At 46.1% G+C, this 23,300-nt stretch overlaps 1 protein-coding gene across 11 annotated transcripts in view, besides 1 other annotated feature; it reads right to left on the bottom strand.

Moving 5' to 3' along the window:
* Nucleotides 1–23,300, bottom strand: part of TRAF3IP1 (TRAF3 interacting protein 1) — an 80,383-nt gene that overhangs the window by 38,031 nt on the left and 19,052 nt on the right. For 4 of the 11 annotated variants that reach the window (XM_011510944.3, XM_011510948.3, XM_011510946.3 and 1 more), the window contains 7 exons: nt 18,272–18,373; nt 15,395–15,415; nt 14,022–14,106; nt 13,462–13,545; nt 9,920–10,043; nt 9,661–9,697; nt 6,790–6,866 (listed from right to left, as the gene is read on the bottom strand). In XM_011510944.3, coding sequence (XP_011509246.1) covers nt 6,790–6,866; nt 9,661–9,697; nt 9,920–10,043; nt 13,462–13,545; nt 14,022–14,106; nt 15,395–15,415; nt 18,272–18,373 — 530 coding nt within the window. Of the gene's footprint in view, nt 1–2,567; nt 2,654–6,789; nt 6,867–9,660; nt 9,698–9,919; nt 10,044–13,461; nt 13,546–14,021; nt 14,107–15,394; nt 15,416–18,271; nt 18,374–18,688; nt 19,070–23,300 lie in introns of those variants that run through there. The other 7 variants (XM_047443898.1, NM_001139490.1, XR_922902.3 and 4 more) reach the window with 6 other exon arrangements.
* Nucleotides 16,221–16,310: an enhancer, noted in NCBI's record as "active region_17381". NCBI's record gives its function as "activates an Ori minimal core promoter by ATAC-STARR-seq in GM12878 lymphoblastoid cells {active_cell/tissue: GM12878}" and the evidence as "EXISTENCE:reporter gene assay evidence [ECO:0000049][PMID:35858748]".

Below are 23,300 nucleotides of genomic sequence, written 5' to 3'. Positions count from 1 at the left end.
TGAGACGTGTGCTGGGTCCAGGAACCCTCGGCCTCTAGCCAGGGAGGCAGCCTCTTCCACTTACCCATGTGCCTTGCAAGCACTACCATTTTCTGAGCATGGCAGGCACTGAGAAAATTTGACACGTTCTAGTTTGTGATAATGGAATTCCTGATTTCTGGCTATGCAAATGGATGCCTAAAATAGAGATTTCACTTCATGGTCTCCTTTGTGACTAAGTTCTAGCCAACATAATATAAGTGGAAGTGCTGTCCAACTTCCAGTAAATATCCTGAAGGAGAAGGGCAGGCCTTCTCCTTCCTCCCTTTTCTCCCTCTTGCTGGCTGGAAGCTGAAGCTATGCTGGCCTGTGAGGCACCCTGAGGAAGGGAGGTCACATCATGCTGTGGAGGAATGAGGCAGAAGGCGTCAGGGTCACTGCCACCTGGATGGCTACCTCTAGACTGACCCATGAGATAAAACACTTTATACTTCATTTACGCCACTAATGTTTTAGCTTTCTTTTGCTTGCAGGTAAATCTAAACCTAACAGATTCAAACATTAATTACCAAAATAAGAAAGAAAAAACAGAAAAATGGAATATAACCACTAAGGAAGCTGACTTAGTAAAAAAAAAAAATTAGTTTGAAAGGACAGCTAATAACATTAAGATGGTGATACTAAGAAAAGAATGAAAAGAGAAGGAACTAGCAAAGGACAGAGAGAAGGGGGACTGGCCCGGCAGGAGGGGCGCCAGAGGAGAGTGCTGTGCTGGAGGCCATGCCAAGGACGGAGAGAGTGGCCAACAGCATCAAAACGCTGTCGCAGGACACAGACATAACCAGCAGATATAACAACTGAGAGGTCAGGTGACCCTGCCGAGGGCAACTCAGGCAACTCGGATGAAGGTGGAGAGCCAGCGGCCTCCCTGGAATGGGGTTAGGAGAGAGTGGGAAGAGGTAGATTGTAGACAGCAAAAGATAAGCGATTATTTTAAGGCATTTTGCTCCAAAGACAGGCAAGGCAATGGAGTGGAAGTTAGTGGTAAAAGTCAAGTCAAGCGAAGATCAATACGATTCCGGTCAAAATCACAACAAGGTTTTTCATGGAACCACACAAACTGATCCCACAATTATATAAAGCCATAAAGACTTACTCACAATCAAGACAACCTGGAGAGTCGGGGAGGAGTGGAGGAACATTTAGAAAGGCTTTCCCAGAGGTAAAACCATAGTGCTGAAACAAGGAGAGACACAGCAGAGCCCGGAAACACGTAGTGCCTGGGCTCCCTAGAGAGGTGGGGGTACAAAGGCGGGGTAAGGAAGCCTTGGCTGGCTACCACACAGCAGAAAATCACACTTCCAGACCACGCAGAGACCTAGACGTGAAAAAGAAGACTAAACTAGAGACTACCTTTACAACCAGGATAGGACAGCTTCTTCAGACAAAATCAAAAATAAAGTATAACTGCACCTTAAACTCTTGGCCATAACAAAAAGAAAAAAAATAAATAATGTATAAAGAAAAAGGCTGTTTAAATTTTACATCAAAATAGAAAAGTTTGGCCAGGTGCAGTGGTTCACTTTGGGAGGCCAAGGCAGAAGGATCGCTTGGAGCCTAGGAGATCAAGACCAGCCTGGCTAACATAGCAAAACCCCCCTACAAAAAATACAAAAATTAGCCAGGTGTGGTAGCGTGTGCCTGTAGTCCCAGCTACTCGGGAGACTGAGGTGGGAGGATCACTTGAGCCTGGGAGGCAGAGGTTGCAGTGAGCCGAGATTCAGACCACTGCACTCCAGCCTGGGCAACAGAGCCAGACTCTGTTTCAAAAAAAAAAAAAAGTTTTTTAAATAAAAAGGCAAAGTCAGACAAGCGATAGATTGGAAAAATATTTACAACATATGAGACACAAGGGTGTCATTATATATTATGTATACAACCATAGGACAGATATTCAACATCATTAGCCATTAAGGAAATGCAAATTACAACTATGAAAAAAAATTTTTTTGAGACGGAATCTCACTTTGTCCCCCAGGCTGGAGTGCAGTGGCGCAATCTCGGCTCACTGCAACCTCCGCCTCCCAGGTTCAAGCGATTCTCCTGCCTCAGCCTCCTGAGTGCTGGGACTACAGCCCTGTGCCACTATGCCCAGCTAATTTTTTGTATTTTTAGTAGAGACAAAGTTTCACCATTAGCCAGGATGGTCTCAATCTCCTGACCTCGTGATCTGCCTGCCTCGGCCTCCTAAAGTGCTGGGATTACAGGTGTGAGCCACCACACCCGGCTGAAAAATTTTAAAGTTTGACCGTACCTAGTGCTGACGAGGATGTGAAGGAACTGAAACTCTTATACACTGCTGGTAGGAATGCAAAATGATACAACCACTTTGCAACACAGTTTGGCAATCTTTGTTTTTGTTTTTTTGTAGAGACAGGGTCTCCCTATGTTGCACAGGCTGGTCTTAAAATCCTGGCTTCAAGTGATCCTCACATTTCGGCCTCCCAGAGGGCTGGGATTACAGGTGTGAGCCATAGCACCCAGCCCTATGGTCTGGCAGTTTCTTAAAAAGTTAAGCACACACTTACCGTATGCCTCAGCAGTCCCACTTCTAGGTACAACAGTCCTATCCCCACCCATAGTTTCACTTTCTGCAGTTTCAGTTACCTGCAATCTGAAAATATTAAATGGAAAATTCCAGAAATAAACAATTCATTCATAAGTTTTCAATTGCATGCCATTCTGAGTAGGGTGATCAAATCTTGCACAGTTCTGCTGAGGACATAAATCATCCCTCTGTCCAGTATATATACACACTGTACACACCATCCACCTGTTAGTCACTTAGTAGCCCTCTCAGTTATCAGATAGTCTAGACTGTGGCAGTATCCCAGTGCTTGTGTTAAAGTAACCCTTATTTTATTTAACAATGGCCCCTAAGTACAAGGGAGTGGTGCTGACATATTGTTAAAATTGTTCTGTTTAATATCAGTTATTGTCCATCTCTTACTGAACCTAATTCATAAAGTAAACTTTATCATCGGAACGTATCATGAAAAAACATGGTATATACAGGGTTTGGTACTATCCACAGTCTCAGGCATCCGCTAGGGGTCATGGAACATATCCCCTGCAAATAAGAGGGGTTCTACTGTATTCATACAACATAATGAAAGTATCTGTCAAAACAAAGACTTGAACATTAATGTTCACAGCAGCTTTATTTATAATAGTCCAAACTAGAAGCAACTCAAATGTTCATCAACTGATACATGGATGAACACACTGTGGTATATCCATACAATGAAATACTACTCAGCAATAAAAACAAATAAACTATAGATACACGCTGCAACAACATGGATAAATCTCAGAATAATTATGCTGAGTAAAAACGGCCAGACTGAAAAAAAAACCTCAAAGAGTGCACATCACATGATTCCATTTAAACACAATTCTAGGAAATGCAAACTAAAGCACAGTGAACCAGAGCAGAGGGGTGGCTGCTGGGGTTGGGGCGTGGGGTAAGGGGAACATGGAGATGGGCTGGAGGATGGGCTCACCAAGGGCACATGACACTGTGGAGGGTGATGAGTGTGTTCACTATCTTGACTGTCGTTGGCATGGATGTTTGGAAACAGATGTTCATTGTACTGGGAGAATAAATTGGTACAGCCACTTTGAGGAGGAAAGTGGCCTATCTGGTGAAACTAAAGATCTGTGTACTTCCTGGCACAGCACTTCTAAGCCTGGGCATAACCCCCAAAGCTGAAATCAGTAAACTATAGCCCACAGCCTGGACCTTGTTTTTGTAAAGTACGTTTTATTGAATACAGCCACACATGCTCATTTACATGGTCTAATGCTGCGGCTGCATTCATGCCACATCGGCAGAATTCAATAGTTGCAAGAGACCATCTGGCTCAAAAAGCCTGAAGTATTTTTATCTGGCCCTTTACAGAAAGTGGCCTGATTCTTGCTGGAAGAGACACTGGCTCTTGAATGCTAGGAGGCATGGAGAGGAGCCATGGAAGCATTGTCTATGAAAGGAAATGGCTGAAAAACCTAAATGTCCATCAATAGAGTAATTAATAAGCAAATAATGGACTATAAGGCTTCAATTAAAATGAATAAACTACATCTACATGTATCAAAACATGAGAGAGAGAAACATGCTGCATGAAGAAAGCAACCTGCATAACAGATCAACACGAGGGTGACATTAGAAACTCAAAAAACACCACGAGGCACATCCAAAGTAGAGATACACACCAAGTTCATCCTGGGGACTGCCCTCGGGGGAACAGGACTGGGGCAGGGGGAAAAAGGACTTTGGCTCTTCCTACATGTTTTTTTTGAGACAGGCTTGCTCTGTCATCCAAGCTGGAGTGCAGCAGTGCAATCACAGCTCACTGCAACCTCTGCTTCCTGGGCTCAAGCGATTCTTGTGCTTCAGCCTCCTGAGTAGCTGGGACTACAAGTGTGCACCACCATGCCCAGCTAATGTTTGCATTCTTAGTAGAAAGGGGATTGGCCATGTTGGCCAGGATGATCTCAAACTCATAGCCTCAAGCAATCCGCCCACCTTGGCTTCCTAAAGTGCTGGGATTACAGGTGTAAGTCACTGCGCCTGGCCACATTTTTATTTATTTAAAAAAAAAATGTAGCAGGAGAATGGCGTGAATCCGGGAGGCGGAGCTTGCAGTGAGCCGAGATCGCGCCACTGCACTCCAGCCTGGGCAACAGAGCGAGATTCTGACTCAAAAAAAAAAAAAAATGTAACAAAAATGTTTTAAGAAGACCAACAAGTTAAATTTAAGTCTGATGTTTATCAATATCCTAAAGAAAATCATACAGACACTTGCTGATTTTCCCCTAACTGTAACATACATCAACCCTGACTTTGAAGTTCTCACTGACCACTCTTTTTCAAAACAGCAGATGTTTACCAAAAAAGGACACTTTTCCTTTCATCTTCTGAAGCCCAAAGATTTACCAATCTGAAATAATTTACTCTTCCAAGGAGACTTTGAAACACAATCCTAATATGCTTTGCGTAAAAATCATAGCTATAAAATTGAAACCAATGGAGGCTTCAAAGGTGACCTCCACTAGGAGCCTGGAGGGACACATTCAGGGTTTTCGACTGGGTCTCAGAAATACCACCAGGGACACCAGGACAACCCCTCATGCATACAGAAAGGACTATAATGTATTAACATTCCATCAATGAAAAAACAAACTGCAGAAGGCATTTCTCCTTTCAGCAAGGCAAACAGTGGTGCTGTCAGCAAAGCCTCCGCCGACAACATTCTCCAGTTATTATTGTTAAAAGGGCTCCCTCTACTGTTAGTCTCAATTGCACAGTTCTCATTGGCTATTTCAGGCCCTAGCTTTGTGACAAACTAGGACATGTTAAGCAAAATTATCTAAAACAACCATTAATTCAGCTGGGGAGAAATACATATATGTGTGCATGTGTGTGTACGTATGTGTGCACACATCCCTATATATAAAACTTTTTTAAATTGTTGAGTTATTAGGCTAAATATCCAAGAAACTTCTGTTTAAAAGAAAAAAAAAATTCTTCTTCCTCTTTAAAGTGACTGTAAGAGAAACCTGGCTGTGGCATTTGAGACACACCCTGTTGGCCCACAGGTGCCCGCCCTAGTGGTCATGTGCCCAAGGAAAGGGTAGTGGCTGGCAAGAGGCCACAGGTCCCAACAAAAGCACATCACACATGTGTGAGGGAGACTGCGGGGAACCAGGTACAATAGAACATGTATTTAAAAAAAAGACTTAAAAACATTCCCGGCCAGGCGCGGTGGCTCACGCCTGTAATCCCAGCACTTTGGGAGGCCAAGGTGGGTGGATCACGAGGTCAGGAGATCGAGACCATCCTGGCTAACACGGTAAAACCCCGTCTCTACTAAAAATACAAAATATTAGCTAGGAGCAGTGTCGAGCACCTGTAGTCCCAGCTACACGGGAGGCTGAGGCAGGAGAATGGCGTGAACCCGGGAGGCGGAGCTTGCAGTGAGCCGAGATCATGCCACTGCTCTCCAGCCTGGGCGACAGAGCGAGACTCTACCTCAAAAAAAAAAAAAAAAAAATTCCCAGTCTCTTACTTTGCAATCAGCCAGGATCAGGCAGCCAGCCTCCCAGTCTGCAAACAGGACCTGGGAGAAGGGATGGGCAAGGCCAGAAGGGGAGAGTCAGGGAGTCAGAGCCCAACAGGCCTTTGGCTCTTGGCTCCTGAGCTCCCCAAGTAAGCCGCTGCCCCCTCCCAAGACGGGGCTGGATACCAGGCCAGGGAAGTAGCCCCACAGAGGAAGTCCCACACTTTATATCCTCCCAACTGGGAGGAGGGAGGAATGGCTTTTTTTTTCTTTCTGAGGCAGGGTCTCACTCCGTTGCCCAGGCTGGAGTGCCGTGGCACAATCTCAATCCACTACAACCTCCACCTCCCAGGTTCAAGCGATTCTCCTGCCTCAGCCCCCCAAGTAGCTGGGACTACAGGCATGCGCCACCACACCCGGGTAATTTTTGTATTTTTTGTAAAGACAGGGTTTCACCATGTTGCCCAGGCTGGTCTCGAACTCCTGGGCTCAGGTAAGCTGTCTGCGCTGGCCTCCCAAGGTGCTGGGATTGCAGGCGTGAGCCACCATGCCTGGCCAGGAATGGCATTTAAATATGCAAACAGACATCACTGATAATGGTAATATTGAAAGATGCTCCAACTTGTAAAAGTCTGTAAATGCATGAAACAGACTGCTAAAATGCCAGTGTTTATGGAAATCATTCCATTACCTTCTCCCCAGGTTTGGGTGACTGCTGCAATTTCTCATAATCTTTCTTCGTCTCCAAAATTTTTTTCACAAGTCCACCTGTTGAAAAATCAGTGATTTTATGTTAAAAGTTTATTCTCTATCCCAAAAACCTATTCTAAATGGGTGGGATGGTGGGAAAAACACTAAGTTTTTATCCTATCTCTTTTTATGCTGAAACAGTTTCAAATAATCTTTATTTGTTAAGGAGATAGTACACAAGAGTGATAGACAGCTGGTAGTGGAAATTATCACATTTCAAAGTGTTTCAGGGAAATCAGCTCCTTGAAAAGTAAAAAGCTTTAGAAATAAAATAGATTTTCTATTTTCAAAGATTAAGAAGGAGTGTAGATTGACATCCAAAAATATAGCCATTTATTACAAACAGAAATAACAAGAAATGCTTCTAAGTACGGATACTTCTTTTACACTGGGGCAAGACTATTCCACTTCTTTCAGAATTTACTCATGGGATAAATATCATGTGAAGTTTTTTGGAATAGTGTTTCACCCAAGCATACATCAGCCCGAGGCTGACTGAATAAACGAGGGTACGTCCACACGGTGGAGGACGACGTGGCTATGAAGGAAATGAGGATGGTTTCTCTGCATTGCTGCAAAATGAAAGCCTGCATCTGCTGTCAAATTAAAAAGAGCAAGATGGAAATAAGTGTAGGTATCAGTAAATACACATGCACATGCATATGCATTTATTTATTTGTTTGTTTTTCAAATGTAAGTATAAGCCCTATTTTACTGTTACCTACAGGGAGAGGGAGAGTAGAGGGTAGAGGAGACAGGGAGAGTAGAGGGTAGAGGAGACAGGGAGAGTAGAGGGTAGAGAAGACGGGTCAAAGCCCCACATTTCTGATTATACCTGGTTTTGTACATCTGACCTTAAAATCATGCGAATTATCTTACATTAAAAAGGTAAACAACACTAATGCCTAAAGGTTGAATGCAAAATGAAATAAACTTAGTGATATCCAATTGGCAAGCATGCGCCACTAGAGAATTGTTTCACAACTTTAAAACAGGGTAACTGACTGTACATCCCTAATAGGATATACCCAACAAACAGGCAGACATACCTACCAAAAAAAAAAAAGTCCTTGGGCTGGGCTTGGTGGCTCACACCTGTAATACCAGCGCTTTGGGAGGCCAAGGGGGCCGATCACAAGGTCAGGAGTTCGAGACCAGCCTGGCCAACATGGTGAAACCCCGTCTCTACTAAAAATACAAAAAAATAACTGGGTGTGGTGGTGGGCGCCTGTAATCCCAGTTACTCAGGAGGCTGAGGCAGGAGAATCTTTTGACCCCGGGAGGCAGAGGTTGCAGTGAGCCAAGATCGCGCCACTGCACTCCAGCCTGGGCGACAGGGCGAGACTCCATGTCAAAAATAAATACATAAATAAAAATAAATAAAATAAAATAAAATAAAATCCTTCAGCGTTTCCAGTAATCCTATTGTTGTTAAAAACCAGTCGTGGTGTTCTAAAATTGCTATGTGAGCATATGAAGGATCATAAAGCATGGGGACAGCCGCTGCTGCTGGGAGCCAGGCTTTTTGGCATGAGATGGAAGAGATGCATATATAAAACCAAAGAATGCAGGCAAAACCCTACAATCCTAAATCGGAATTGGAAATATCATCACTAAGTCAGAATATACTTTCTTATTTTAAAAAAGTATATCCCTGCTTTTGCAGTGAAAATGCCTGGAAACAAGAAGCAACCCAGAGCAGTAAGCGGCCAGGTGCCTTGGAGAAATGAGGCAGTTATGGGGCAGGAAGTACACAAAATAAGCTGGAAACACCTTGTCGTATCAGAAAACAAGGAAGCTAAAGAGTGTACTGGGATGTGTCTAAAGGCCCCCAGAAAATAACTCCAATAGGCTCCCCTGGTCAAATACTGGGCAATCTGAACATTAATAAGAAAAACTGAGATGGGCTGAAATGAAACACATCCACTATGTTAAAAATCCGTGACTAGGCTGGGCACAGTGGCCCATGCCTGTAATCCCAGCACTTTGGGAGGCCAAGGCGGGTGGATCACTTGAGGTTAGAAATTGGAGACCAGCCTGGCCAACGTAGCGAAAACCTGTCTCTACTAAAAATACAAAAATTGGCCAGGCATAGTGGTGCACGCCTGTAGTCCCAGCTACTTGTGAGGCTGAGGCACGAGAATCACTTCAACCCGGGAGGCAGAGGTTGCAGTAAGTTGAGATAGCACCACTGAACTCCAGCCTGGGTGACAGGGCAAGACTCCGCCTCAAATAAAAAAGGGTGGCTTCATATAGATACCAAAAAAAACCCCAAACCCCCAAAACCAACAAGCCCTCGTTACTCACCTGTGATAGGTGCCAGGAAACAAAGTCATATTGTGAGAACAGATCTATAAAGGAAAGTACTCAGCCTGCCTCTTCTGCAGAAACTGTGTTCCAGGATACTCAAACCCTGGTGTGGGGAACGGGGTTTGCACTACTGAGTTGTCCAGCTAGAAAACCAACAATAACATTCCAGAACTAGACTTGCAAAGGGCCTCAGAGATCATCTACTTCCACAATTTAATCGTACGGAAGAGACGAGATGTCATCTGCAGGACAGTTGCCAGTGAGTTTCCAGCTTCCAACTGTGCCCTCCCCCTCCTCTAAGGATGGGGAGCAGCAGCCATCGCCTTAAGAGTAATCCATGCCCGCAGGGTCCTATGTACCACCAGTGTGATCCCGCCAGTGTGACCCAGACCAGAACCTGGCACACAACAGTCCCTTGCACTGGATCCTTCCAGGCCCACGTGGAGAAGGTGCATGAGCACACACACATGGACATACATGCACACTCGTGCCCAGGACTCACCATGCTTCTCCTCTTCTTCTAGTTCCACTGCTGTTACCTGAGCAGGAAAGGAAGGGGGAAAAAGAAGATTCAGGCTTGTTGAATTTTAAAGATCATGCTTCTGTGGATCTCAAAAAAAGAACAACAAAATTAACGAAGGTAGAAAACTAACTGAAAAATTACAGGACATTTTTGTCTACATAAATCTAAAAGCTAGACTATTAATCTCAATGAAGGTAAAACATTATTATTAAAAAACATCATATTTCGGTTAACTAACCATTTCAATTTCTGACATTTCAGAGAGCTGAGGGGCAGCTTCCACCACAAATTGATCATCCTCTTCATTGTCAGAATTGTGTGACTCTGTAATCACATTTGAAACGGTTTTACCACTCCCTGACCTAAATAAAAAGAAATTAGATTAAATTAGAATTACACATTTTCATCAGTCCCAAGCATCTGAAACTGTGTCAGAGGTCGGCAGAGAGGAATCTAATCACCAACCATCTCTAGCTAGAACAGCATCTCAAGCTACCCGCTGAAGCTAAGATGGACTGTCTGCAAACAGTGTCCTCTGCAAGCCCTCCAGGCCTGAGTCCCTGTGAGCCTCGCCCTCCACCCCCACCCAGCTTCCCCACGTCCCTGTGCTGCCCAGGCCTCCTGGTCCACACCTGGCCTCCCGTCCCCACAGCCTCGTCATGCCCTCTACTGCACAAAGACCCTCAGGGCCTCCGCCTCTCCCCTGACTGCGCTCTCAGTGACACCAGCCCTTCACCTGCTGCTTTCTACCTGGAGGCGCTTATTGCCCTGGGTCACAAACCTCAGGGCAGGGGCCACATTGGGGTCCCACTGACCAGGGCTGACCCCAGACCTCTCTTCACACAGCCAGCTGGAGGCCCCTCATTCAACTCCTAGTCACAGTGGCTGCCCTATGTCCCGCTCAGCACCACGTACACACTGCGCTCCACCCAAGTCCACATCATTCTGGGCAAGTCAGCGTCCAACAGCCTGGCCCTCCAGCCCCAGACCTTGTCCTCCTTGGTGACAGCCTTCACCCAAGGGCTCTCTCATGCTCTCCAGGGCCACCTACTAGAACTGCCCCACCTACAGCTGCCCCACTCCTCCTCACTCAGGCCACTGTCAGCTCACTCTGTACAAATGTGAGCCCCCGACCCAAACACTCTACAGGCTCCTTAATGGCCCCTCCTGCCTTTGTTTCTTCCCTACACACTTGTGCTTTAAGCAATCACCTAACTCCCCCTGCCCCGTTATCGCAGTGCTGCATGCGTGCACATGCATACACACACACACACACACACACGCATACACACAAGCACATGCACGCACACGCGCGCGCGCGCACACACACACACACACACACACACACACACACCAAAATCCTCCCTTGCTTCAGTGCCATGCACAAGGTCCAGAGGGAATGTAGACACTTGGGAACGACCTCTGAAAATAACACCCATTGCCCCAAACATCCTCGACTTCCTCAACTGGGTCCTTGAGACACTCAACAACCACCTGTGTGGCTCCGCCAGGACCAACCTCACTTCGAACCCGCTGCTCTGTCAGTACCAGGAAGTCCAGGCTCCCGTCCCTCGTCTCTCACGCTCCCAGCACACCCTCACTGTGGCCCACGATCCACCTCCTCAACACCTGCGCCCCTGTGCCTGCCGTGATCGGCAGGCCCTCTCTGTCCCGCCTTGCTCTCCAGGACACAGCTTCCCCACAGCCCTCAGCTGCAGCTGCTGCTCCTCCCACCGGCCTCTTGTCACGGGCCCAGAGGGAAGGTCAGTAATTTCCTTATGCTTGCTTCGGCTTCCAGATCACTCTCCCTAAAAACTGCCAACTTTAAATCTTGTCACCCTCGACCCCATCATTGCTGCCATCAGCTGCCAACCCATGGTCCCACCCAGTCCTCCTGGACCCGCCACTCTCACCAACGGTGCTCCTGTCTTACTTGTGATTTCAAGTATTGAGAAATGATCCTTCCAAAATCCTGGCCTTGGGTCCCTGAACCCTGCTGGGATGATCCCACCTCCCACACTCGACGCCCACTCCCAGGGGCACCCCTGTCACTACCACTAACAGCAAGCTCCAACCTCAAATCCAAGCGCCCCACTCCTTTACCACCACTATCTATATTCCCAGCTCACCGCCCTAGGACCTGACTCCAACAATCCTTCTATCCATCCGGCACCTTCAGCCTCTCAATCCTAATGCCTCCTCCTGACCTTCACCCCGAGGGCTCCTCCCTCACTCACTGGCATAAATCCCACATTGGTCATGACCGTGGCGCTTCCACATACTCCTACTCCTTCCCTTCTCTCTCGGTGCACTTGCTTGGCACAGCCGAGCCCTGTTTAATACAGCCTGTGCCCCCCAGTGCCTGTAGGTGTAGCCAACTGCAGCTGCAGAACAGGCCCCGCCACACCATCTTCTGTCTCTTTACGCCCAAGTCCACCAGATGCTGCCCTGAAGTCAGCTGTCAGCCACGGCCTCCGCCCAGGCACTATGGGCAGGCAGCCCATCCTCCTTTGTGGTGGAGACTGTCCTGTGCATTGTAGGAGGTTCAGCAACTGCCCTGCCCTAACCCCTCCCCTTCATCAGAACACCAGAAAATGTCTCCAGATCATGGCCCAGTGTCCCCAAAGTAGGATCACCCCTAGAGGAAAACCTCTGCTCCAGTCTCTTCACTAGCCCACTCTCGTGCACAGCGACTTCACCCAGCCCCTCTCTCCTCTGACACTCCTCTTCCCCCAGACCCTCTTACGGCTCATGAGAAAAATAAGTACCAGAAAATCACCTTAAGAATCTGCATCACACCATGTGCCGACTCCACCTCCGCGCCCGTTCCCACACCCACACGGGGACTCTGCTCCACCAAACCCCTGTCCCACGTCGCCTACGTCATCAATTTCCCCTTTCCACTGGATCATTCCCGTCATTAGAAAAATAATAACTCCCCTTGACACCACCTTTCCCACTTTCTAGTCTTATTCCTTCCCTTCTCTTTGTGGCAAAACTCCTAGAAAAACACATCTACTCCTGCCTCCAATCCCTGCCTCTTATTTGATCTGAAACCCACTCTGATCCATCCTATCTGTTGTTTGTCTTTATATTGCTTATGACTTTATTTTTTTTTTTGAGATAGTCTCACTCTGTCGCCCAGGCTGGAGTACAGCAGTGCAATCTCAGCTCATTATAACCTCCACCTCCCAGGTTCAAGTGATTCTTCTGCCTCAGCCTCCTGAGTAGCTGGGACTACAGGCACACGCCACCACGCCCAGCTAACTTTTGTATTTTTAGTAGAGACGGGGGTTTCACCACATTGGCCAGGCTGGTCTCAAACTCCTGACCTCAAGCCATCCGCCCGCCTCGGCCTCCCAAAATGTTGGGATTACAGGCGTGAACCACCAGGCCCAGCCTGCTTATAACATTTTGATCACCTTCTATTTTTAATTTTTCTGCAATTAAGCCCCTAATTTTTTTCCCCTATTTTTTCCTAATTCCCCTATTGTTTTCACGCTTAGAAAGTCTTCAATCTAGGGGTCAGAGAAATGCAGTCCAACATTTTCCCATAGATGTGAAGATGTATTTTACATGTATGCATGGTTTTTCTCTTTCATCCATCTGACATGTCTGTTGGCCTATGGTGTGAGGCGAGGGCCTACCCTCACTTTTTGTTCCTCAATAGCATGTTTCCAGCACCATGTGCTGCTTCCCTCCCCCTTCTCTTAGCGGAGGCACCATGCCCACTGGAGAACACACTGTGTGGCTGGAACTGCCCTGCTGAGCCAGCCTTACCTATCCATTTGTAGCGCCTCCATGCTGTCTTGCCGTTTGACCCGGGGAGGGGCTGGTCTTGCACTCCCAGGCCGAGGAATTCTTCTAAACCCAAATATTGGAAAACCAAAAAAGGAGTATGAAAGGCTTATACATTTCAAACTGGAAAAGAAAGCCCAGGTGAATGTTAACTCTCATCTCCAAGCCATAATCAATGTGCTGGTTAGGACACGCTACTCTGCAGAAGAGGAGGAACGTCCCAGTAACCCGACCAATCAGAAAGTGTCCATCTTTCCACTTGTATTTTCAGTAATTTCAAAATACCAACAACTGTCACTAATCAAAACATCACATAATTCAGCTATAATTTTGAATTCCCCTAAATCTCCAAAATATTATATCACTATATAGTGATATAACTCCAGTACAGAAAACTGATATACTTCTTGTATTCTTTGTATAAGTAATTCCTCATAAGTTAGCTCAAGCACTAAATAAATAGCAGCAGCCAGAAAGAGAAGCACAGCAGTGTCCTAGGTGTGATCACTCTGCTGAGGGAAAGGGATTCAAAGCACACAGACCTGATGTTGGATGAAAGCTCATTAGGAATTTCTGGAGTCTCTGGCACCTCAGACTTATCTTGGCCAGCAGGTCCAGCATCTCCTTCTAAACAAATGACAATCAATTAGCAATTCACAAAGGAAAACACACATAGATAACTATTTGAAAATACTATTTGCATCTGTATTTGCAGTTATTTGCAATCAAATACATTTGTAATTGCAAATACAAATGAGCAATTTTTCCATCAATCATGTTGATGAAGAGAAAATCGATGTCTGATATCTAAACTCAGTGAAGATTTGGGAAAATGGGCACACTCAAACCCAGGGAATACAAACTGGTTCAACTACTTCAGAAATAAAATTCAAAAGGCAGGCTGATCAACTGAGCACTTAAAGGAAATACAACCCAAGAGGAGAAATGGACACATGTCAAGATGTTCACCCATCGTCACTGGTAATACTGACAATCAATCAGTAACTAAGTAAATTATGGTACAGTCACATGTCAGCTCCCTTTTGTGTGAAACAATCCAGTACAGTAATATATCTAACAATTATATACATATGCATATATATATATACAGGGTTCTAGAAGAATATTCATTTAAGTTATAAGCAGTAGAATTACCAGTGCTTTTAATTTTTGTTCTTTTTTTTTTGCATTTTTAAATTTTTCTACATTGGTATACCATATTATGTTTATAATCTGAACAAAGTTTTCTTCATTTTGATAAAAAGAATTAATCAGTAAATAACAAGGCCTAAACTATTAAGACAAGTTTACTCCACTATTTAAAGTAAAAGGAATTAACACTTCAGAAAATAGTCAGAATTTGAATATTAGAAATATACTTTATATTCTGGAAAAAAATCCTGAAATGTATTGTTTTCAAACTTAAAACATATAAATTAAATTTCAAATTAAATTAGGGTAGTTGGCCAGGCGCAGTAACTCACACCTGTAATCCCAGAACTTTGGGAGGCCGAGGCAGGTGGATCACCTGAGGTCAGGAGTTCGAGACCAGCTTGACCAACATGGAGAAACCCCGTCTCTACTAAAAATACAAAATTAGCCGGGCGTGGTGGTGCATGCCTGTAATCCCAGCTACTCAGGAGGCTGAGGCAGGAGAATTGCTTGAACCCGGGAGGCAGAGGTTGCGGTGAACCGAGATCATGCCATTGCACTCCAGCCTGGGCAACAAGAGTGAAACTCCATCTCAAAAAATAAATAAATAAATAAATACATTAGGGTAGTTATGATCTTTTTCCATAAAATAAGTTACTTTCACTAATGCACTTTATAAAGCATGAATCTGAGAGTCCACATTCACATTCACACACATGCATACAATTGATATGACACACAGGTATCTAAGGCCATTCCTCACCTGCATCACTGGTGGAGTCACCTAAAGAAAAAGCACATCAGAAAATTAGCTTTCGTGTAGTCAACCTCAATACATTAAATGATGAGAACAGAATTGGAGAAAAAACACACTGTACATAATTTTGGATGTCTGCTAAGAAAAAAAGATCATTTCCTCATAGCCGCTTTTCTAATGTCCCTATTGCCATTTTGTTTTATTTTCAAAGATAGAAAAACAAAGAGCAAACAAACTGTGCATCATAAAATGGTACTAAATAGAAACAGGACACAGGGATGTGGAGAAAGCACATCGGAGAGGAAGTTAACAAGTTCATGAGACAAGAATCGACAAAGCCAGAGCCACAGAAAAAGTGCATCCAAATGTGAGGGAACGATGCAACAGTCTGAACCCGGCCAACCAAATCCCGGGCCGTTCCAAAGACTGGGAGACAGTCAACAACAGCCCATCTTATAGACATGATTGGTAAGCATTTTTCCATCAGCTCCTGAAAGCAGAAGAAAATCTTCCAGCTCAACAGAGGCCCACCTCTGCACCTTCACCCAGGATCCTTTTTCTTCAAGTGTTGTCTTGAGGACAAATGTGACCTAAACGGTCAAAGTAAATGAGCAGTGGCACCACAGGGGTGGGGTGATTCAAAACCACAGGTGGGAAATCTCTGTTTCACACTCTTAAGATGCACGAACGCATTTGCAGAAGAGCAGAAAGCGCATGGATTCACATGACAGCCCAGCACACTATACGGCAGAGAGGAGGCAGCAGGGCCTGATGCAGCGCCTCGTTTAACACGGCCCCGCCTCAGACAGGAACAGTTCATGCAGCCTCGAGAAATCAGCCTGGGTTATTGTGAGGGTCCACACCGAGCAGAGTGAGGAGCACTCTACAGACACCTCTAGCTCGTTTATTCACAGGAGGACTTTCTGTGAGCATAACAGCCACGAGCTCATAAATGCTGCCTTAAGAGGGTGGCTCTGGCAGGGAGAGAGGGGGCCAAGCTTGTGGATCAAGGGGAACCGGGAGGCTCTAGAGGACTCTATTAGTATGGGCCTGAGAACCTCCAGAGGTCACACCCCACAAAGTGCCACAGCACAGGGGGTAGCCTGGCACCCACCAGGGCCTAGGGGACTGGAGGGCACAGTGGTTAGCAGGGGGCTGGAGAATGTGGTTCCAGATAGTGCCACTACAAGGGCAGTTTCAGAGACCCCAGCACTTTGGGCCAATGGGGGCAGAGGACTCAGCTCAACCCTGGGATGGGACTGCTGGGGACCAAGAGCAGGTGGCAGAAGATCTTTTCCTCATGGCTGTGCGGCCTGGAGCGTGTGCTTAGCAGAAACCAGCACTGAGAGTCCTCGTGCGACCTGGGGGCAGGCAGCAGACACAGTTTCAAATCCCCGGCTCTTTCTTCAAAACACCAGGGTGTTAGGAACAGACCCTGGATTAACACAGCACTCAAAAAGGTGCCTGAGAGGTGCAGTTATTCAACCACAAGGCCGATACCCAGAAGGAAAGTCAGCACAGTGAACTCTCTACCTTTCAATGGATACTTCCAGTCCCCGTTACCCAGAACCCAAGGCACCTGCCACATGGCCCACACCATCCTCCCCGACGCCTGTGCTTCCACAGCGCCAGTGCTCTGCCAGCTCCTGCACTCACAATCTCGTCCTAGGTGACCCAGTCCCCACCCAGGCTCCTGCCATCACCCAGCGCCAGCAACTCTCACAGCTCCTCTCTAGCCTGGGCCTTCCCTCTACGCTCCAGGCCAGCTCCCCCAGCACGTGCCAGCAGCCCTGGAATCCTACCACTTCTCCCCTCCCAGGGCGCCTCCACAGTCCAGGCCTCTCTCTCTTCTCTGCACAATCTTTAACCCTCCCTAATTAACATGGCCACTCTTTAAAATCTAAATATCATTATACTGCTCCTCCTAAAGATATAATTAGCCTCCCGCTGCTCTTCCAATAAAGGCTAAACTCCATAAGCTGGCACAGGGACCTGGCTCTGGCCCTTCCTCTGGGCTGAGCCAGCCCTGCTGCAGTCGCATCCCAGCCGGGATCTTGGTTTATACAGCCCCTTCTGCCCTGCAGGCTTTCTGGGCCACCCTCACCAACCAAGGCCCCTCCCGTCCCAGACTGCCACCCCATCAAACGATTTCGGTTGATCTTCGAGCCTCATCTGCACCAGGAAGGCAGGAGGCCAGCCTGACTTCACTGGCTCATGCGCTCCCAGCCTCAGGGCTGACATGCAGTAGGCCTTCAACAGATAATTTTCTGTTTGAACAAATCAACAAACATCAGCCCTCCCCTGGCCACACCCCACCCTGCCGCTGCCACCTGCACAAGCCTTGGTTACCTGGGCACTGGTACCCTTGCAGGCCTGTTAGGAGCTCCAAGGCCTCAAAACACAAACATTGAATGGCTATTTTACCAAAGTTTTTTTAAAGGCTGAGAAAATTTATGGTGAAAGTAAAATCCCACTGAGGTATAATTCAACACTCAAAGAAAATGACAGACAGAAAAATCATGGTGGCCACAGCACTGTGACCATGAAGTCTGGGGGGTACACCTCTTGACTGGTGGGGCTCTCCAAGTAGTGACCCCGAAACTTTTCAGGGACCACTCATGACACCCCCCAAGTGATGAAACATGCCACCTCCTCTCACTTACAGAGCACGGGGGAGCACACGAGTGGGTCCCATGCTATCAAGAAACCACCATGTTCGATTCTAGTTTATGCAAAAAGGCAGAAGTGAATCACTGTGAATCACTTGCCACGTTCAGACCCAAGAGGAAAACCTCGGGCTCTGGGCTGCGGCCCTTTGAGAAGAAGGTTCTGGAGGGCTCACTCTGCTCTCGCCAGGAAAGGGCGAAACTGGACCATTCTTACCTTTCTGCTTCTCTGTGGGGTTGGGCTGAATATTCTCACACCGCAGACTAGCTGAATTATCATCTGAAATACTAGTTGAGTTAATATTAGCTTCTTTTGTTCCTGACATAAAACAGTTTAAAATTAGTCATTAAGACTGTACACCAAAGGGCCGGTGATCAGCGGCTTCATTAACATAGAGCACACTTACTTATCTATGTTTTCCCACACTGCAAGTTAGGACTGACAAAGGACTGACCAAAGGCAGCTTTTAGAAAACATGCATCTAGAATGTTCCTCCCCCATGGGCGGCTCTGGGGTGAAAGGGAAAGGACACCCCAGACTATGAGTGGATCCTTGGTCTACTCAGGCCAGGAGGAGCAGACTGCCCCCGCCCCCCATTTCTGGAGCTACCTGACACTGCCAGTCTCCACTCACCTCCCCAGTAGAGCCAGACCCAGCAGCTGAGAGGCTGCAAGTAGGCGGCTGTTTCAGGAATGCAGGAAGAAAAGAAAAATATTTTGGACACAGTGCACAGTCCTGGCCATATTGAAAACTTCCACATATTGTCTACTAATTACTGACTGATGTTCCAAAGTTTATGAAGATAGAAAAAATATCAAATACCTGAGAAAATATTTTTGCTGTGAAAAAAAAAACAGGCTGGGCACAGTGGCTCACACCTATAATCCCCGCATTTTGGGAGGCCTAGGTGGGAGGATCACTTGAACCCAGGAGTAAAGACAACCTAGGTAACACAGAGAGAACTCGTCTACACAAAAAAATATAAAATTTAAAAAGCTAGCCAAGCATGGTTACACACACCCGTAGTCCCAGCTACTCAGGAGGCTGAGATGGTAGGATCACTTGAGTCCAGGAGTTTAGGCTGCAATAAGCTGTGATCACGCCACTGCACTCCAGCCCAGGGCAAAGAGTAAGACCCTATCTCGGGGAAAAAAAAAAAAAAAAAAAAGGCCAAGCACAGTGGCTCATGCCTGAAGTCTCAACACTTTAGGAGGCCAAGGCAGGCACCAGCCTGGGCAACATAGCGAAACCTCATATCTACAAAAATTAGCTAGGCATGGTGGCAGGTGCCTGTAGTCCCAGCTACCCAGGAGGCTGAGGCAAGAGAATCACGTGAGCCCAGGAGGTCGAGGCTGCAGTGAGCCATGATCATGCCACCACTCTCCAGCCTGCATGTAAGAGCGAGATCATGTCTGAAAAAAAAAGGGTAGGAGCCAGGTGTGGTGGCTCACGCCTATAATCCCAGCACTTTGGGAGGCTGAGGCCGGTGGATCATGAGCTCAAGAGAGCGAGACCATCCTGGCCAACATGGTGAAACCCCATCTCTACTAAAAATAGAAAAATTAGCCGGGTGTGGTGGCACATGCCTGTAGTCCCAGCCACTCGGGAGGCTAAGGCAGGAGAATCTCTTGGACCCGGGAAGCAGAGGTTGCAGTGAGCGAGATCGTGCCACTGCACTCCAGCCTGGTGACAGAGCCAGACTCTGTCTCAAAAAAAAAAAAATAGGGGGCCCAGATGAGGGGCTAGAGGAATAGGTTCTATATTACAGCAGGACCCAGAGCTGGAAAACTAGCTTCAGTCAAAGGACCTACCACTCTAAAAAGAAACTGAGAGACAAAAATAAAATTGTAAAATGTTCCCTTTCCTGAAACACAATCTTATAATTCTTAAAACTATTCAAAACAGCTTACATCAGAATCAACCTGACATTAACTATCATATAACTGTTTTATTTATAATGTAATAGAACTACATAAAATAGATGACACATAATTTTGCAAAGACATTTTTATCAATCTGTGAAAATGATACTGACTTAAATAGTCTGATTCAAACAGTTATTTATATTTTACTCAGGGTAACCAGAGAATAAACATGAAATATTAAGTTCTTAACAAAAAAAAATCTAAAAATAAACATAAGTTTGGCGGTTGTAGATGCTCAACTTTAGAAGAAAACACTCTAATAATTTTAAGTTGTGTACTTGATTTCAAAGTGTCAAATGTTTTCCATACTCTACCATATTCACCATCACAGTAAGCAAATTATAAATGCATTATCTTCATTCTGTAGTTCAGAGACCAATGACACTTTCACAATTTTACCTTTTCAAAGTTCTAGTGGTATTCTTATGTAAGCTTTACTAAACCCCAAGTTCACACCGAGAGAAAGAACATGAAAACAGACTATAGCTCACTAATTATACCACACTGTAGAATCAATTCATAATCACAGAGAAGGGACTAACCAATTTGTCAAATAATAGTTTTAAACAAATAAATAATGCACTTATAAAATGAAAATGACGGCCAGGAGCGGTGGCTCACACCTGTAATCCCAGCACTTTGAGAGGCCCAGACAGGTGGATCACCTGAGCTCAGGAGTTTGAGACCAGTCTGGCCAACATGGTGAAACCCCATCTCTACTGAAAACACAAAAATTAGCTGAACCTAGTGGCACACGCCTGTAATCCCAGCTACTCAGGAGGCTGAGACATGAGAATCCCCTGAACCTAGGAGGTGGAGGTTGCAGTGAGCCAAGATCACACTACTGCACTCCAACCTGGCAATAGAGTGAGACTCCATCTCAAAAAAGAAATAAAATAAAATAAAAATGACTATGAATTGGCAAAATAAAAAAAAAAGAGTCACAGCATAAGCACAATCTGTTTTCTAGAGCTACCTGGTAACCAATGAACCTTGTAGGTGAGAATGTGAGCCCTGGCTCAAGACGCCCTAGGGTGGAACACTGGCGCTTCCTCTCTCCATGGGCTATGCTTTGGTCAGGTCCCTCAGCCTTCCTGAGCCGCAGTTTGCCCAGTTTGCCCCGCCTCACAGAGCCATCCTGAGTCAAATGAGATCTTGTGCATACAGCAAGGAGCACTGTGCCCGGCTGGGAGGGGCCAGTCCCTATCAGTCACTGTTATTGAAACTAATCAGACGTACGGCCCATAAATACAATTGAAAGAGGTCCATCATTCGGCCAGTGTTCTGCGCAAATTTTAGCTACACTAAGTTAAATGTCATCAAATAGCCAGTGTTTTTTTTTTAAAAAAAAAAAAAAGAATAGAAAAACATTTCTGGGACAATTAGAATACAGCTTGGGTTTTAGATGCTATCAGGAAGCAATAACTGAGTTCAGTTAGACAATACTTTTCTGGCTATGTAGGAAAATGTACTTTTTTTTAAAGCTGCATGTCGAAGTATTTAGAGATAAAGTGTTAGGATGTTTTTTTAACATACTTTGAAACAGTTCATTAAAATATGTAACTATATGCTGGGTCTGCTGGCTTATGCCTGTAATCCCAGCACTTTGGGAGTCTGAGGTGAAAGGATCACTTGAGCCCAGGAGTTCAAACCAGCCTAGGCAACAAAGTGAGATGCTCTCTCTACAAAAAAAAAAAAAAAATTAGCTAGGCATGGTGACACATGCCTGTAGTCCTAGCTAGTCAAGAGGCTGAGGCAGGAGGATCACTTGAGCCAAGGAGTTCAAGACTGCAGTGAGCTATGATCATACCACTGCACTCCAGGCTGAGTGACAGAGCAAAGCCCTGTCTCAAAAATACACATAAGAAGCCGGGTATCGTGGCACACACCTGTAGTCCCAGCTACTCAGGAGGCTGAGGCAGAAGAATCGCTTGAACCCGGGAGGCGGAGGTTGCAGTGAGCTGAGATCATGCCACTGTACCCGAGCCTGAGCAACAGAGTGAGACTCTGTCTCTGTCTCTGTCTCTCTGTCTCTCTCTCTCTATATATATATATACACACACACACACACACACACGCATAACTGTACATTAAGCAAAATGGCAAACGTAAAACTAGTGAATCTGGGTGAGAGGTATATGGGCACTAGTTGTACTATTCTTTCTACTTTTCCATATTTTTCACAATAGAAACAGTTAGAGAAGTAAGCAAAAATGAAATGAGGGAAACTAAGCAAAATAAAGACCTGACTTAATGTTCCAGAAAAACCTGGAACTGTCACACAATTGTAAAGCGAACAAAGCATGCCTTACAGCTTGCATAACAACTGGAGTACAGGAAGAAATTGTTCATGTTTTGAAAAAGAAATGGATAAATTCCTTGTTGAACTCTTTAATCCACCCAAAAAATCAAAATGGTAACAATAAAACCCACAAATTCTCTGATGATGACCCAGGCTATGGGCACAGGGCTCACGAGGGCCGGGTCAGTCAGTGCAACAAAGGCCGGCTTTGACAACATGGACTTTTCTTCGAAGCACTAAGAAGGAAAGGTACTGTGAGGACCAGCTCATTAACCAGACCCAATAGCAGTGCACCCTCAATGAAGAAATTAAGGAACTGTAACAACTGCCAGCAAACTCTGAATTCCAAATGTTAAACCATGACCAGTGCAAGGTAACACCTGCAACTGCGAGGACAGAGACCCCAGGTCCGCGCTGTGGCAGGACCCTAGGGGAGCAGGGCCAGGGTCGGGGGGAGGAGAAAGACAAGGGACCGGGAGTCTCTCCAGAGCCCAGACTCTGCTCCTGGCCACTGTTCCCAACCCCCCCGCCCCGCCACCCACCGCACACTGCCACCCAAGGACAGCGGGAGACTCTGCTCCCCAGCAGGTGGCATCAGGCTCCATCCCAATCTCTGCAAAAAGTTCAACCCAGAAACCACGTTTGCAGTTTGTGCTTCTTACTGCCTGGGTTTGTGTTATCTTCACACTTGTTGATATTACCTACACAGTCCTCACTACGTGTCTGGAGAATGATTTCAATTTGTTCTAAATCCATTGCCCATCTCAGGATGAGCGCTGTCTCGCCCTGATCTGGGGCTGGCAGCTCAGCAGAGGTGATCCGTGATAAAGCGGGTTAGACCGCGGCGTGCCTGGGGCAAGCCACCACTTAATGGACACCTCGTTCACCCTCAAGGCAGGTATCTTTACGCCCATTTATGACGAGGAAACTGTGGCTCAGAGAACCCACTCACGTGGCTGGCTCAAGGCCATGAGGCAGGTAAGCAGGAAGTGGGGAGTCATCCCTGTGGCCTCAGAGA

The sequence above is a fragment of the Homo sapiens genome, chromosome 2 (assembly GCF_000001405.40).
Source record: "Homo sapiens chromosome 2, GRCh38.p14 Primary Assembly".
NCBI lineage: Eukaryota > Metazoa > Chordata > Mammalia > Primates > Hominidae > Homo > Homo sapiens.
The sequence above is the reverse complement of the archived record's forward strand: the minus strand, read 5'-3'. Positions and strand labels throughout refer to the sequence as shown.